This window comes from Homo sapiens, chromosome 7 (genome assembly GCF_000001405.40).
Source record: "Homo sapiens chromosome 7, GRCh38.p14 Primary Assembly".
NCBI lineage: Eukaryota > Metazoa > Chordata > Mammalia > Primates > Hominidae > Homo > Homo sapiens.
Window position 1 is genome coordinate 123,543,814 of NC_000007.14, and position 17,215 is coordinate 123,561,028.

General features: G+C 36.4%; 1 protein-coding gene across 11 annotated transcripts in view, besides 6 other annotated features; it reads right to left on the reverse strand.

Annotated features, from left to right (window-relative positions):
- The window catches only part of NDUFA5 (NADH:ubiquinone oxidoreductase subunit A5), a 64,655-nt gene that overhangs the window by 6,817 nt on the left and 40,623 nt on the right, over positions 1 to 17,215 (reverse strand). Inside the window, exons 1-5 of one of the 11 annotated variants that reach the window (NR_104169.3) lie at positions 13,962 to 14,005; positions 13,591 to 13,635; positions 6,657 to 6,773; positions 2,845 to 3,004; positions 1,798 to 1,863 (exon numbers count right to left, since the gene is read on the reverse strand). Coding sequence is in view for 7 of the 11 variants with exons in the window: in NM_005000.5 (NP_004991.1) it covers positions 1,798 to 1,863; positions 6,657 to 6,773; positions 13,591 to 13,635; positions 13,962 to 13,982 (249 nt within the window). In the remaining 4 variants the exon portion in view is untranslated. Of the gene's footprint in view, positions 1 to 1,797; positions 1,864 to 2,844; positions 3,005 to 6,656; positions 6,774 to 7,554; positions 13,507 to 13,590; positions 13,636 to 13,811; positions 14,006 to 17,215 lie in introns of those variants that run through there. The other 10 variants (NR_104168.3, NR_111925.2, NM_005000.5 and 7 more) reach the window with 10 other exon arrangements.
- Positions 13,135 to 13,713: an enhancer, noted in NCBI's record as "H3K27ac hESC enhancer chr7:123197002-123197580 (GRCh37/hg19 assembly coordinates)". NCBI's record gives its function as "activates a minimal SCP1, AML or CMV promoter by ChIP-STARR-seq in naive and primed H9 embryonic stem cells {active_cell/tissue: H9 hESC(naive and primed)}" and the evidence as "EXISTENCE:reporter gene assay evidence [ECO:0000049][PMID:30033119]".
- Positions 13,135 to 14,482: a biological region, named in NCBI's record as "BRD4-independent group 4 enhancer GRCh37_chr7:123197145-123198344".
- Positions 13,278 to 14,477: an enhancer, noted in NCBI's record as "BRD4-independent group 4 enhancer chr7:123197145-123198344 (GRCh37/hg19 assembly coordinates)". NCBI's record gives its function as "activates an origin of replication core promoter dependent on BRD2, P300/CBP, MED14 and CDK7 cofactors, and independent of BRD4, by STARR-seq in HCT116 cells {active_cell/tissue: HCT116}" and the evidence as "EXISTENCE:reporter gene assay evidence [ECO:0000049][PMID:35650434]".
- Positions 13,714 to 14,292: an enhancer, noted in NCBI's record as "H3K27ac hESC enhancer chr7:123197581-123198159 (GRCh37/hg19 assembly coordinates)". NCBI's record gives its function as "activates a minimal SCP1, AML or CMV promoter by ChIP-STARR-seq in primed H9 embryonic stem cells {active_cell/tissue: H9 hESC(primed)}" and the evidence as "EXISTENCE:reporter gene assay evidence [ECO:0000049][PMID:30033119]".
- Positions 14,033 to 14,082: an enhancer, noted in NCBI's record as "active region_26568". NCBI's record gives its function as "activates an Ori minimal core promoter by ATAC-STARR-seq in GM12878 lymphoblastoid cells {active_cell/tissue: GM12878}" and the evidence as "EXISTENCE:reporter gene assay evidence [ECO:0000049][PMID:35858748]".
- Positions 14,343 to 14,482: an enhancer, noted in NCBI's record as "active region_26569". NCBI's record gives its function as "activates an Ori minimal core promoter by ATAC-STARR-seq in GM12878 lymphoblastoid cells {active_cell/tissue: GM12878}" and the evidence as "EXISTENCE:reporter gene assay evidence [ECO:0000049][PMID:35858748]".

The following is a 17,215-nucleotide window of genomic DNA, read 5'->3' on the forward strand; positions in this document are numbered from 1 at the left end:
ATAACACTGTATCTAGTACCACAGCCAACCTGACGAATATAAAGGCCAGGTAAACAGGCCTTTGAATAACTGAAACAGTCTACATTCATAGAAAGCTGTCTGAATGCTATATTCCTCTTTTTCCAGAGCCATCTAACAATTCTTTTGATTTGGTATATCATGTCTGTTGGTGATATACCTCCCTAATCTCCAATATTATCCAATATTTCCTTTTATCTGTCCTTCAATCAACAGTAAGAAAACATTAGAAAGGGTTACATTTGAAAAAAGATGCAACAAAATAAAATTAAATGAAACAATTGAATATTTATCAGACACTTATAAGATGAAGACATTCTAAACCTATAATATGAGGGTTGTAGGGGTGTGGAACAACAAAATTTCACCAAATAAAAAAAATTTGAGCTGGGCAGGGTGGCTCACGCCTGTAATCCCAGCACTTTGGGAGGCCGAGGCAGGCAGATCACCTGAGGTCAGGAGTTCGAGACCAGCCTGACCAAAATGGAGAAACCCTGTCTCTACTAAAAATACAAAATTAGCTGGATGTGGTGGCACATGCCTGTAATCCTAGCTACTTAGGAGGCTGAGGCAGGAGAATTGCTTGAACCCGGGAGGCGGAGGTTGTGGTGAGCCGAGATCATGCCACTGCACTCCAGCCTGGGCAACAAGAGCAAAACTCCATCTCAAAAAAAAAAAAAAAAAAAAAATTGAAAACCTCTACATATGGGGGAAAAACCCCATTTGAGAGGCAAAAGCAGGCTAGAAAAAGTATGTGCAGACAATGTCAGAAAAGTTTAAGGTTAATATCTTTTATTATAAAAAGACACTCATGTATAAATAACCCAGACTAAATGACCCAGTAAAAATATTAATGACATAATTTATAAAATATAAGAACATATTTTTAAAGTTTAACCTTACTAGCAATTGGAGAAAAAAGATGCAAATCTTAAAAAAAAAAAAAAAAAAAAAAAAAGAGTTATCATTATTTTCCCATAGATGCTTTAAAAAACCAACTACGGAATACTCAAAATAGTATATTTCCAGCCTATTTACATCAGTAACCTATCTATTTCTATAACCTAACTATGACCAAAGGAAAAGAATTAAAATTCAGATTAAATAAAACTAAACTGCGGTGTTTGTTCTCTTGTATAAGCAGCAGGTATAGTGAGAGGAGAAGAAAATTTCCCAATAGAATAATTTAAGATTTAAATATTCTAAATGTAATTAATAATGTTAATAATTTTTCTAATCTCAGTCTCTTCATAATCATGCTTACATTTTACTACTCAATATTATTTGTCAGGGTTAGTATTTGGGAAATAATGTAGAATTAAGCTCTCAAATATACTATGCAATTGTTTTTTAACTTGCTCAAATGCTCAAGAACCAAAAATAAAAATAAAAGTACATTTTAATTTTATAATTCAAAATGTCTGTATTTTTCCCTACTAAAAATATGCCACACTCTTAAAATAAGATACAACTATTAAAACAACAGTAATATTGTGCTACCAATTTAAACTAAGGTTAGGCCAAGGAGAACATGCTAATTAAATTAAAAGAGTGTCAAACTCCAGGCTTCTAACAGAAGTCTCATAAATTCATGCTATAATCAACAATAAATACTATAATCAACATACACATGAGAAGCACCACATTTTCTATATGTGATTAGTCTTACATATTTGACGAGTTGATATAAACAAGGAAATTTAGTTTTCCTTTCATTCTAGAACGTCAGTTGTGTGTCTCTATGAAACCAAACACCTAAATAGTCAACTTTTTCTTTACCTGAAGAATCACCTCTTCTAATTGACCGCCTTGAAGTTGGTCTTCTAATTTTTTAACATCTGGTTCCTATAATTTCAGGGAGAAAAAAAATTAAAGAAGCATACTAACTGAATGTTTCAATATCCTATATATTTTAAAATTCCTATATAAAAACACTTAAAAATACAACTTTTCTTTCATCATACTCTTTTTACTAAATATTTGGTGAAAATTCATTTCACCTCTGCTATTTCATTGCTTTTCTGTCTTAATATTGAAAAGTGCTAAATGTTTATTGACATGCTGATCAAGGGACAGAAATACAATGTCAAATTCAGTCTTCCTAAAACAGATTTTAAAATATGACTTTGCTTTCTTAATATTTCCTGTATTTCCTCTGAGAGCATTAGAATTAGAAATAAATGCTACTCTATGACCCAGAAATTACACTTCTAGGCATAATGCCAAACAGAAATGCATAATATATTTTTTAAAAAACATGTTTGAGAATATTCACAGCAGCACAAATTATAGCCCCAAACTAGAAATAACCCAAATGATCATCTGTAATAGAATGGATCAATTAATTATAATATTTGGATATAATACTTCACAGCAATGAAAATGAATAAACTGTATGCAACAATATAGGTGATTCTCTTAACCACAGTATTAAGCACAAGCCAGAGTACAGTATGTATAAGACAGTACATACTAATGATTTCATTTATATAAAATTCAAAAACAGGCAAAAAGAAGTCCAAATAGAGATTAACTTTACAAGTAGTAAATTGAAGGGGAAGAGGCAAGGGTTTTGTTGTTCTGGAAAAGTCCTTTTTTTCTACACATTTGTAATGTATATAATTATTTAATAGAAGTTTTTAAGAACAAAATGTTAATAAATATAGTACCTAGAACATTCAATGACATTTAGTTATTTTCTAGTAAACTGAGCTTTTTGAGCCAGAAATCATGCTCTGTAAATATACCCACATATGTAAATAAGGCTTTGTCTTTTCAGGGTGTTTTTCTGGCCAATAAATGGAATAAAGAGGGAGAAAATAATACATTTTGCTTTTCAACACAAGACGTGATATGTTACTGCCTCAGGGTATCTTGCTGGATGGCCCAGGGTATCTGCATCACTTGTTTCTTCACCACTTTTCAAATCTTTGCTCAAATAACACCTTCTTATTGATTAACTACTGATAATTTGCATTATGATAGGCTGAAAAATACCACAAAAGATATACATGTATTAATTTCTAGAAACTGTGAGTGTTACTTTATACAGCAAAGACTTCACATATATGATCAAGTTAAGGATGCTGACATGGGGAGATTTTCCTGAATTATCCATATAGTCCCTAACTGCAATTATAAGTGTCCTTATAAGAGAGAGGCAGAGGGATATTACACACAGAAAAGGAAAAGGTAATGTAACCACAAAGGCAGAAATTGCAGTGATGAGACCACAAGCCAATAAATGCCAAAAGCCACCAGAAGCTGAAAGAGGCAAGAACAGATTCTACCCAATATCCTCCAAAGGAAGCACAGCCCTGACAACACCATCTTGATTTGGGTCCCTGATGTTGATTTCCAACTTCTGGCCTCCAGAAGTCTAATAAAATAAACTTACATTGTTTTAAGCCACCAAGTTTGTGGGAATATTACAGCAGCCATACGAAATTAATACATAGTGTAACATCCCCTATCCCCACCATGGCACACATTTTCCTTGTTTTATTTTCCTTCACTGCACTTACTATTTTCTAACACACTATGTACGTCTTTACTCAGTTTTTACTTTTTTTTTTTCTTTTGGTCTCCCATCACTAACATGTAATCTCCAAGAAGGAAAGGATTTTTATCTGTTTTGTGCCAACTAGGCACAAGTTTCCATGCCTAGAACCATACATGGCATTCAATAAATGTTTCTTGGTTAAAGAAGTGAATACATAAAAAACAGCTGAAAGGGGGAGAAAAGGGGAAAAAGTAATAAGCATGTTTAAGACAGATTATTTAACAGGGAATTAACTCATATGAGAGACCAAAAATCAAAAACAAAACAGGGAAGCTGGTCACTGTTATAAGAGACTCAGGAGAGTGAAGGTAAAGAAGGCAAGGAAAGTTCAACGACACTTTCATTTCAGAAAAAGCCTGTGTTAGGTGAACAGTTCAAAATTTGTCTTACCGATAGTGAATAATGTGATTTTTAGTCACCAATGGCATAATGCTATTAAACTTGATAAGGTACCATGTACTGAATGCTCACTATATACTTGGGACTATGTTAAGCTTTTACGTGCATTACCTCATTCGGTTCTAACAAAAAGTGTTCGAGGTGGGTATTATTATACCCACGTTATAGATGATGAAATTGAGACCGAGAAAACTAGCAATATGCCAAGTCACTCCACAAATAAGTATTAGAACTAAGATGAAAATCTTGGACAGGGACACAAACAACGCTTTTCACCAAAATAGTACTATCTCCCTAGTAATAATCTGAAAAAAAAAGTTACTTTTATTTCCACCTTAGGCTTAGTAAATAGATATTTTATAATAATGGCAATATTCACTAAAGATTTTGTGTGTGGCTGTATGCAGGGTTAAAAATCTGTGATAATTTTACCAAAAACAGGAATCAGAGATACAACTGTTAAGTGTTTGGGGTTATATCTAGCCTTTGGGATAAAGACACATTTCTAAGGAACCTTATGTTCCAGGTACCATGCTAGAGTCTAAGGATACAAAGTTGAATCCAATATCATTAACAAGTAGCTTATGGCTGGTGGAGACATAATACAGCATGAAGGTACAATGGAAAGGAGGTAACAAAGTTGTCAAACTCTACTTAAGAAAGTAAGAAAAGGTTTCACAGAAGAAGTGATGATTTATGAAGAAAAAGTAAGAACTACCAAACAACGTAAAGGCATTCCAGGAAATGAGAAAATACAAATGAACACAAAAATAAAAATGCAAGGAATCCACAGAACTGCCAGCAGTTTGGTACTGCTTAAGTATAGAGTATAAAACAGGAAGCAACAGGATCAGATTGAGAAAATAACCAAGAGCCAGAACTTAGAAGGCCTTCTATACCATGTTTTTACCCTGTTAGGCCAGTGGTTCCCAAACATGGCCACACATCAAAATCATGCAGATAAAGGTAGCTAAGCAAGCTTCATACAACCAGCTCAACATAAATCCTTAAACTCAGCCTTTGAGAAACACTGAACAGAAAACCACAGTAAGATTTTAAGCAAGACAGCACAGTTGGCCCTCAGGATCTGCATCTGTGGATTCAACTAAGAATGGATTCAACCAACCACAGATGGAAAATATTCAAAAAAACACAATAAAAATAACAATACAGCAATTTTTAAAATACAGTATAACTACTTACACAGCATTACATTGTAGTATTATAAGTAACCTAGAGATGATTTAAAGTATACAAGAGGATGTGCATAGGTTATATGCAAATACTATGCCATTTTATATAAGGGACTTGAGCATCCTTGTATTTTGGCATCCATGGGAATCCTGGAACCAATCCCTCATGGATACCAAGGGACAACTGTACCATCACAAGATTTACATATTGAAAAAAAAATCAGTCTATTATTGGCTGTATGGTGGAGCATGTAATGAAGTATAATGGAAGTACAAACAGATCAATTAGTTATAAGGCAGTTTAAATAGCAGAGAAAAGGATTTTGGAACCAGTAAGTAAAGAAGTATGAGAGTAAACTCTTCTTTGGTTGAAACTGGCTATGGGAGAAAACAAAAATAGGACAATAAGTAAAGGAAAATACAAGCATACAGTTTTTTTTATTTTTAAGATAGGAACAAGCTAAAAACATTTGAGGCTATTTGAAAGATGATGATAAAATAGGTGAGGCACCGGGTGCAGGTAGCTCATGCCTGTGATCCCAGCACTTTGGAAGGCTAAGGCAGGAAGGTCACTTGAAGCCAGGAGCTTGAGATCAGCTAGGGCAACACAGTGAAACTCCGCCTCTACAAAAAATTTTAAAAATTAGCTGGGCATGATGGTGAGTGCCTGTGGTCTCAGCTACTTGGGAGGCTGAGGTAGGAGGATTGCTTGAGACTGGCAGGTCAAGGCTGCAGTGAGCTGTGATCGTGCCACTGCACTCTAGACTGGGTAACAGAGTGAGACCCATCATATAATACAATACAAAATACGATATAATACAAACTGCATTGTTTTGTTGCATACCTAACGAAAGATAGGAATTCTCTTTGAACTATATAGTCTGGTAATCTAATAAGAAGAAATATATGTGACTAGGATCACTTATGCATGTATATAAATTACCTTCAGAGTTTCTAAGCACTATTTTAGATAATTACATAAAGTCCATTTAATGATTGCTAGTGTGAAAATTTAACAATAGTACAATATAGTTTGGTATGAATCAGCAGTCTAGACTTTTATTAACTGCTACTTAATAACAGTCTAGTCTTTTTGACAGGTTTCTTTGAAAAAAAAATGCCCTTTTTTGTTTTGCTTTTATTGTTCTCTAAGATTAGAAAAAGGAGATCAAGATTGATATATCCAAGATAAAAAGCAAAAGATCAATAAAGGACTAAATAGTGAAGAGAGGTAAAAGGAACAGCTACAATGTTACTTCAAGGAAGGATCTGATCCTAGTCTCAAACTCCAGTATGTAACAGAGGCCTGCATATAGAAAACACTCAATAAACAAGAGTTTGCTGAATAAAAGGGAGGAATGATGGGAAAAGAGCATTCAAGGAAGGAGAATAGAAGAAAAGTGTGTCGAATATATAAAAAATAAGGAACTAAACTTTTTTGGTTAAATGTTACACAAGACAACAAAACTGACTTAGCTACTTACCGCTTTAACCATAGCCAGCTTCTCATTTGTAATCTGTTCTGTATACTTTCTATATGCTGCATTTTTAGGGATTTCCTCAAGAACATCAAGAATCTTTGTGTACAATATTCTTAGCCTCTGAAAAGACAAACCATACAAATTTCCATAGGTTAAAATATTACCAAAGACTTAATGGAACACTTGTCTCAAAGACAAAACAAACAAAACTCACATCTGTTTTTTTTTTTTGCTTTTTTTTTTTAATTTAACTCTTCTTTGCTCTGACTTCTTTATGTCTGTGCCCTATCTACACCCTTTATAACTTAGGAAAAACCTGTATATAAACATGGGAACATTCTGTATTTTCTGTGTATAACAAGTTCTAGATAAGTCAAAGGTATGATAACAAGTAGAAACAAAACTAACTTATTGCTAAGGACCTTTTGGGAAATCGAATCATTTACCAAATCAGTATTTTTCTTTCTTTCTTTCTTTTGAGACGAAGTTTCACTTGTTGCCCAGGCTGGAGTACAATGGCATGATCTTGGCTCATTGCAACCTCCACCTCCCAGGTTCAAGCGATTCTCCTGCCTCTGCCTCCACAGTAGCTAGGATTACAGGTGGCCGCCACCACGCCTGGCTAATTTTTGGTAGAGACGGGGTTTTGCCATGTTGGCCAGACTGGTCAGAAACAAAACAACTTATTGCTAATGACCTTTTTGGAAATCAAGTCATTTACTAAATCAGTATTTTTCTTTCTTTCTTTTTTTTTTTTTTGAAACGGAGTTTCGCTCTTATAGCCCAGGCTGGAGTACAATGGCGTGAACTTGGCTCACTACAACCTCCACCTCCTGGGGTCAAGTGATTCTCCTGCCTCAGCCTCCCAAGTAGCTGGGATTACAGGTACCCGCCACCATACCTGGCTATTTTTTCTATTTTTAGTAGAGACAGGGTTTTGCCATGTTGGCCAGGATGGTCTCAAACTCCTGACTTCAGGTGATCCGCCCACCTCAGCCTCCCAAAGTGCTGGGATTACAGGCGTGAGCCCACCCAGCCTGAATCAGTATTTTTCAAAGTGAGGTCCGAAGCACTGCAAATTTTTTTTTTTAATTTTTCTTATTTGAATTTCTGTAGAAATAAACACATATAATCATTACATCTGTATGATCAAATTTAACTAAATACGGTCATAATACTTCAGTGTTCTTGCTTCTGATTATGAATGAGTTACGACATAAAGTCTGCATAAAAGGCTCAACCGAAAAAGTAGCAAGAGAATTGAGTCAATGCATAGCATGTACTGAAGCACACTGAACTTAAACTTCAGTATAGAAATCAGTAAGAAGTTGATCCTCTCCAATTTAAATATATAATGCATATATTAGTTTTTAATATAGCATTTTAATTAAGTTTTAATATGATCTAAAATTCAGGTTTTAAATTTTCATCTTTCCTGACAAAAATGTATCAGTGTCTAGAGAAATACAGATGAGAACAGGGGACTATTAATATAGAATAAAAGAAAAAATGTTATCAATAGGGTGGACACTTAGTTTATCATCCAAACTTGGACACTTATAACAGTGAAAAGATACCTATTAATCATTACGCCAAAACACAGGTATGAACCAGAACAGTTGAAACAAACAAGACATGATCACTCCAGGAGTAAGTCTCAATAATTACAAGTATACAAACCCTTCTCCTAAAGAGCAACCTTTTTTTTCAATTAAAAAAAAAAAATGTGTGCAGTCCTCACTATTCATAATAGCAAAGACTTGGAACCAACCCAAATGCCCAGTGATAGACTGGATAAAGAAAATATGACACATATACAACATGGAATACTATGCAGCCATAAAAAAGGATGAGCTCATATCCTTTGCAGGGAAATGGATGAAGCTGGAAACCATCATTCTCAGCAAACTAACACAAGAACAGAAAACCAAACATCACATGTTCTCACTCATAAGTGAGAGTTGAACAATGAGAACACATGGACACAGGGAGGGGAACATCACACACTGGGGCCTGTCAGTGGGTGGGGGGCCAGGGGAGGGATAGCATTAGGAGAAATACCTAATGTAGATGACGGGTTGATGGGTGCGGCAAACCACCATGGCACGTGTATACCTATGTAACAAACCTGCACGTTCTGCACATGTACCCCAGAACTTAAAGTATAACTAAAAAAAAAAAAAAAAAAAAAAAATTGTGTGCAGTCCTAATAAGGGAACAGGGTAAAGCAAAAATAAAAAAGCAGATAAGCTAGAAGTCCACCTTTCTTCATGGTCCAGGACACACAGTCCTCCTCCACAAATAACTCACAATCTTCCTGTGCCCAGCTATCATCAGACCCTCGCCTGATAGCTCATTGCAACCTAGGTGTTATCAGTACTGCACAAAGCTCTCTTCAGCCCACAGCACAAGCACCATCCTTTAAGATCCCCAGCAAGCCTTTGCTACTTGCATTCAGCTCCTCTTTTGCTGACTTGCCAATAGCTTTCTTGCAATGTATTTTCATACTTTCTCTAATAAATCTGCCTTTCTTTACCTCAAATGTCTTGGTAAATTATTTTTACCACCACGCAACACCAGCCCCAGACAGTCGCTACCCGCGAAAAAATATACTCAGTACTTCCATGTACAATACCACACTGTTTGCGTATAAAGATAGACTGGACATGGATCACACTCCAATATGTTTAAGGTACTATCGAGTGTACTTATCTGTTCTCATGCTGCTAATAGAGACATACCTGAGACTGGGTGATTTATAAAGGAAAAGAAGTTTAATGAACTTACAGTTCCACATGGCTGGAGAGGCCTCACAATCATGGCAGAAGATGAAAGAGGGGCAAAGGCTTGTCTTACATGGCAGGAAGCAAGAGAGCATGTGCAGGGGACCTGCCCTTTATAAAACCATCAGATCTCACGAGACTTCTTCACTATCACAAGAACAGCATGGGAAAAACCCACCCCATGATTCAATTACCTCCCACCAGGTTCCTCTCCCACGACACATGGGGATTATGGGAGCTACAATTCAAGATGAGATTTGGATGGGGACAGAGCTAAACCATATCACAGGGTAAGCTACAGAAGAGGAAAAATAATAAAAATGATAAAAAGAAAAAATAAGTGTGTGTTTGGCAGGGATGGGGAAATACATAGAGCAAAGAGATATTATAATACTTAGCAACGGTTAAGGGTGTGCTAACCAGAACATAACTGCTTGAGTTTACACTGGCTCCACTCCTTAGGTGCACTGGACAAGTTATTTCCATCTCTGTGCCTTCATCCCTCATCTGTAAGATGGGAATAATACTGCCTCATAGGGTATATACAACTTAGAACAGTACCTGGTACACATTAAGTTTCACTAAGTATTAGCATTATTTTTCTATAGCAGAAGAAGAATTCACTTCAGCTGAGACCAGAGAAGCATTCATATTTCAAAAAGGTGGCATCTAAGATAGACCCAGAGGGATGGTAGATCATAGAAACTTAAATGATATTGGAAAAGGCAATTACATACAGAATACATAGAACTGAATGGCAGAAAATACAGCAAACATAAGGAAGTGGTATATAGTTCTATTTTCTTGAACTGTGCTGTCTAAAACAGTAGATGCTAGCTAAATATGGCTACTGAGCATTTGATATGTGGCTAGTCCAAACTGAGATGTGTTATAAGTATAAATACATACCAGAGTTGGAAAATTTAGTATGAAGAAAAACACTATAAAATACCATTAATTTTTTTATTATATACTGAAATGGCAATATTTTAGATTTGTTAGGGTAAATAAAATAATTAAATTTTACCTTTTTCTTCATTAAAAAATTAGTCCTAGAAAATTTTAAATTACATACAAATATGGCTTACATTTAAGGCTCGCATTATGTTTTTAATGGCCAGCACTTGGTTAGAATACAGTAGCTCCCCTTTACCCATCCGTGGTTTCATTTTCCAAGGTTTCAGTTACTAATAGTCAACCTCAGTCAGAAAATATTAAATGAAAAATTCCAGAAATAAACAATTTATAAGTTTTAAACTATGTGCCGTTCAAAGTAGTGTGGTGAAATCTCACACTATCCCACTCTATCCTTTCTTCATCACAAGAGGGTGGTACAGTACAGTAAGATATTTTGAGACAAAGAGACCACATTCACATAACTTTTATTACAGTATATTGTTATAATTGTTCTATTTTATTAGTTGTTATCTCTTTTTTTTTTTTTTCTTTTTTGAGACAGGGTCTCACTCCATCACCCAGGCTAGAGTGTAATGGCATCATCACAGCTCACTGCAGCCTCAACCTCTGGGGCTCAAGCAATCCTGCTGCCTCTGCCTCCCGAGTAGCTGGGACTAGGTGCACACCACCACACCTGATTAATTTCCACATTTTTTGTAGAGACGGGGTTTTGCCATGTTGGCCAGGCTGGTCTTAAACTCCTGGGCTAAAGCAATCCACCCGCCTCAGCCTCCCAAAGTGCTGGGATTACAGGCGTGAGCCAGCACGTCCAGCCTGCTTATCTCTTATTGTGCCTAATTCATAAATTAAACTTTATTATAGGTATGTATGAAACAAAACATAGCATATATACAGTTTGGTACTATATGTGGTTTTCAGACATCCACTGGGGATTTTGGAATATACTGCTGTACAGGACACATAAGGAAATGCATAGGAGATAAAGTTAGAGAAAATGTCACATTATAAGTGGTTCTGCATTCCAAGTTAAAGCATTCGGGCTTTATTCTGTGGACAATTAAAAGATTTAGGAAAATCATATGATTAGATTAGGAAAATTAGCTTCATTGTAGTGAGTTAAAAGGACTGAAGGAGAAACAAGGCAGAAAGGCCAGTAAGGAGGTTGTTGCAATTCTCTAAACAAGAACAAGGACCTGAACTATGGTAGTAACAATAGAAATAGTAAACAGAAGTCAGACTGGAGAGCTGTTATAGAAAAGGATCAGCAAAAAAAATAAAAATAAAAATCATCATTGGAATGAATATGAGAGTACAAGTATAAGAGAAATACCAACTATGATGTCCAAATTCCCAGCCTAGGGAGTAGAAAGATCTGAAACTATCAAGAAAAATACAGCCCACAGAGGAAGAAATATATTTAGAAGGGAAAAACCATGAGTTCAGTTCTTTACATCAATGACAATAAAGTTATTATGAAATCATAGGAAGTGCAAGACACTCATTCAACTAACACTATTTACTGAGCACATACTATGTGACAGAGTTCTAGCAGTGAAACAATTACAAATCCCTGCCTTCATGAAACCTACATTCTAGTAGAGACATAACAAAATAAATCAGTAGAATAGTGAACCAGAGGGTCACAGTAAGAAACTTGTCTTTATTTAGAGTGAAATGGAAAGCCATTAGTTTTAAGGAAAGGAGAGATCTGACCTACCTCATATTTTAACAGACTAACTCTAGTAGCCTGGCTGGAAAAAAAGACCAAATGGAGGCTGTGACAAGCATTGAGAGGCAGTTAAGAAGTGAATGCAATTATCCACATCAGTGATGATGGTGACTGAGGAAGAGGGTAGTAGCAGAGGAGGTAGTGAGATGTTGTCAAAATCAAGATATATTTTGAAGGTGGAACCTAGAGGGTTTACTGAAATAACAAATGTGGAGTGTAAGAGAAAGGAAGGAATCAAAGATGATTTCAAGTTTCTGACCTGAGTCAAAATAATTGAGCTGCCATTAATTGAGATGAGCAAGACTGAGAGAAGAGCAGGTTTTAGGCAGAAGATCAGGAACCCCATTTTGGACATGTTAAGTTTGGGTTGCCTGTCTGACACATACAAATAGAGATGCCCACTAAGCAATTAAATATTCAGGACTTTTATAAAGGAAGAGGTCAGTGCTTTACATGGAAATCTGTTGTCAGTGTATAGGTGGTATTTAAAACCGTTCTCTATTTGGATTTGCTCTCTCTTGGTGACAGAGTACAGGTCCAAAAGAAAAGGTCCAAGAACTAAATCCTGACTAACTCAAATTTTAAAAGTGGGCATAAGAGAAATAACCAGAAAAAGAGAAAGCCAAAGAGTAGGGGGAAAAAATCAGGAGACTGGGGGAGTCCTGAAGCCCAGTAAAGAAAGCGCATGATGGAAAAAGTGTCAAATGTGTCAAAAAAAAAAAAACGCTGCTATTAGGTCAATGAAGGTGAGAAACATAAGCTGACCATTGGATTTGGCAACATGGAGATAACTGGTGAACTTGAAAAGAGCGTGATGGAAAAAGTGTCAAATGTGTCAAAAAACGCTGCTATTAGGTCAATGAAGGTGAGAAATATGAGCTGACCATTGGATTTGGCAGCATGGAGATAATTGGTGAACTTGAAAAACGCCAAGGGTGACTGAGTGCATTCAAGGGTGAATAAGAAAGAAATTGGAGAAAATAGAGATAACTCTTTTGAGTTATCTGTAAAGTGAAGCAAAGAAATGGTGTGATTATAGAAGGGACAAGAAGAATAAAAAAATTTTGTGGGTTTTTTTGATGAAAACATTCGTGAATACAGATGGAAAAGACCTAACAGAAGGAAAAGGGGGCAGTACCTTTAGTAAGCCTAAATATATGTAATCCAACGCACCTAAGCAGAAACGGTAAGGCAAGGAGAAAAGATGGAAAACGGAGATATAAATTTGAGATGGCGCTGACAGAAGCAAGCACAAGTGAAGCCATGAAAATGTCAAGGAAAAAGTCAACAAGAAAACTGGCTTAATAAAGAGGTCATGGCAAAAATAAATAAAAATGTGACATCGGATCAACGAAGTAGGTGGACAGCGCCCGTGTCTCAAGAGCTCACGCGGCTTGTAATTAAGGGCTTGAAACATCTGTATCCCGTTAACCCTGCAATAAGCAAAGTGACAGGAATTTAGTCTTCCTTGGGAATTCAAGAACGAAGAAAGAACAAAGGTACATACCTCGTGAGGAGTATTGCACACAGCCAATCCCACAAGGCCAGTGGTCTGTTCAAAAACAAAACACGATTCATGCTGTTTACTACGGTTTCCATACATCCAGCACGCTAAGGAAATACAAAACCACGAATCCCCCGGCTAAAACTGGTCTAAAGCCAGCTACTGGTCTCTCAGTCTCGCTTGTTTGGAGCTTTTTTCCTGACTCTCGGAGCGGAACCACTAACCTGCCCTACCCGGTAAGGCATGCAGAACGAGTCCCCGAAAAGCACCGCCGAGCCCGCGACAGTAGGGGTCAACACCCGCGGGAAGTAGGGCTATCGGACTGAGTCTACCCCCACAGTCTAAATTCCAACAGTGACCTCCATTCGTCTCACCTTCTTCAGCACACCCGCCATGACAGCGCCAACGACTCGGTGACGCACAACCCTTTGGGAACAATTCTCAGACCTGCTCAATCGACCACCGAGGTCGCCACTCTGTCACCCTGGAAACAGCTTAGCTCCACCCCTTCAGGATCGCCAAAGGAGCAAAGACTCTGCCCCGCCCATCTTAAAAGAGAAAAATTGACGCATGCGCGATGGGCATACAAGCCTAAAGCTAAGCTAGAAGACGATTGGGGAAAGAAAGGGTTTCCCAGCTGTCTGTTCCTGTTCCTGCCACTGCTGACGGCTTGCCCAAAGATTGAGGGAAACACTCCCAACTACCAAAAAACTCCAGTCGCTGTAGGAACCTGCACTGTGCTTAACCGTTGATGCATTCCTCAACCTTCCTTTCTCAGTTTAGTAAAATGAAAGTGATAACGGAGCTTGAGCATCCTCTGAATTGATCTCTCAACAGCAAGTTAGTTCTTCGCACAAGGATATCAGTATTCTCTGTGTCTTACGAACCAAAGCCCTATGGAGTGTGAGGTCATTTTCCATCGCTCTTTTCGATTTCACTGGCTGAAATACATCATCTTATTTCCAGATGAAATGATATCAGACCATACCACTTTTTCCTACCTCCACAAACACTGACCACTCACTATGTGTCAGTTACTGGGACATAATTTCTAAAATGGGATTTCACATCCTGGAATTCAAAGAATAATGAAGAAGGCGTGTATTAATAAATAATTTGGTAACTGTTCTAAAAGAAGTTGATGCAAAGTGTGATGGTACCAGGGAAAAGGAAATAACTAAAAAGCGTGGGTGACTTTCTAAAAAGTCAGTAGGAGAAAAGAACAAATTGAGAAAACACAAGTACAAAGGAAAAGAGGTTAAAAATGTATATATAAATTCCAGGTGATTTTATGTGATTGGAAAGGTGGGTTTGATTGTTAAGGTAAACTGGTTAAGATTATGAAAGGTGTTGTTTGCCATTATACAAAATTTGAATTTTACTTTTTAAGGAATGGGAACAATGAGAAGACTTTTAAGCTTCTAAGTGACACCATCAAATTTATGTTTCAGATATACAAACAACTTAGGCAACAGTTGAAGAGAATGAGTTGGAAGAGATGAGGCCTTTCATTAGAGGCATGAGACTAGAAAAAATGAAAGCTAAACCAAAAGCAAACAGAAGAAAGGAAATATTAAAGATTAGAAAAGAAGGAGACAGAATATCAATAAAGAAAATCAATGAAACCAGGAATTGGTTCCCTAAAAGGATCAACAAAATTGGCAAACCTTTAGTGAAACTAAGAAAAAAAAGAGAGAAGATTTAATACAAGCAAGAATAAAAGAACCATCACTAATAGCCTTGCTGAAATAAACAGGAATAAGAAGGAATACTATGAACAACTATGCTTAAAAAAGATAAAGTAGATAAAATGGCCAGATTCCTAGAAAAACACAAACTACCTAAATCAACTCAAGAAGGCATAAAGAAAAATCTGACTAGATCTAACATAATTAAAGAAATTGAATTAGCAAGAAAAAAAAAAAAACCTATCCAGAAGGAAAAGCACAGGTCCAGATGGCTTCGCTGGTAAATTCCACTGAACAATTAAAGAATAACACTTAAGAAACTATTCCAAAATATAGAAGAGGAGGAAACAATTAACAACTAATTCTATAAGGCAAGTATTACTCTGATTCCAACCAGACAAAGAAATCAACAAGAAACAAAAACTTCAGCCAGGTGTGGACTCTGATTCCAACCAGACAAAGAAATCAACAAGAAAAGAAAACTTCGGCTGGGCCTGGTGGCTCATGCCTGTAATCCCAGCACTTTGGGAAGCTGAGGCAGGAGGATCACCTGAGGTCAAGGGTTTGAGACAGCCTGGCCAACATGACAAAACCTTCTCTCTACTAAAAATACAAAAATTAGCCAGGCCTTGTGGTGTGTGCCTGTAATCTCAGCTACTCTGGAGGCTGAGACAGGAGAATCACTCAAACTCAGGAGGCAGAGGTTGCAGTGAGCCAAGATTGGGCCATTGCACTCTAGCCTGGGTGACAGAGCAAGATTCCGTCTCACAAAAAAAAAAAAAAAAAAGGAAAGAAAAAAGAAAATAAAACTTCAGGCCAATATCCCTTATTAATAAACACAAAATACTCAGAAAAGTACTAGCAAACCAAATTCAGTAGCATATGAAAAAAAAATTATACACCACAAATAAATGATATTTATTTCAAAAATACAAAGTTGGTTTAACATCCCCAAATCAATTAATCTAATGTACCATTGAATACAGGACAAAAACTATATGATAATTTTAATAGATGCAGAAAAAGCATTGGACAAATTTCAACATGCTTTCATGATAAAAGCACACAACAAGCTGGGAAAAGAAGAGAAATTTTTCAACCTGATAAAGATGCTTAGAAAAACCCCACAACATCATACTTAAGAGTGAAAGGCAATTCTTTTCTGCTAAGATCATTCACAAGACAAATATTTTTCCACTCTCACCACTTCTATCCAACAATATATTGGAAATATTAGCTAAGGGAATTAGGCAAGAAAATAAAATGAATAAAAGTCATCCAGAAGAGACAGGAAAAAGTAAAACTATCTCTATTCACAGTTGCATAATCTTTTATATAGGATTATTAAGGAATACACACATACATACAATTAAAACAAATAACTTCAGCAAAGTTACATTATACGTGATCTATCAGGGTCAGCTCAGGCTGCCATAACAAAATACTATGGATGAGGTGGCTTAAACAACAGAAATGTATTTCTCACAGTTCTGAAGGCTGATAAGTTTAAGACCAAAGCCAGCAAGACAGATTTCATTCTGAGGCTTTTTCTTTTGGCTTATACTGGTTACCCTCTCATGGTATGCTCATATTTACCTCTTTTCGTGTGTGCTTGGGGTTGGGTCAGGGTGGAGAGCAAGATCTCTGGTGTCCCTTTTTATAAGGCCACTGTTACCATCATGACCTCATCTAAACCTAATTATCTCCCAAAGATTCCATCTCCAAATACCATTTTATTGAGGTTTAGAGCTGTAATATATGAAATCTGGGGGACATAGTCCATAGCAATCAATATACAAAAATATGCTCTAGTCTATTATAGCAATGAATAATCTGAAAATAAATTAAGAAAACAATTCTATTTACCATAGCATCAAAAAGAAATAAATCTAACAAAATAAGTGTAACACTTGTACACTGAAAAGTATTAAATATTGTTG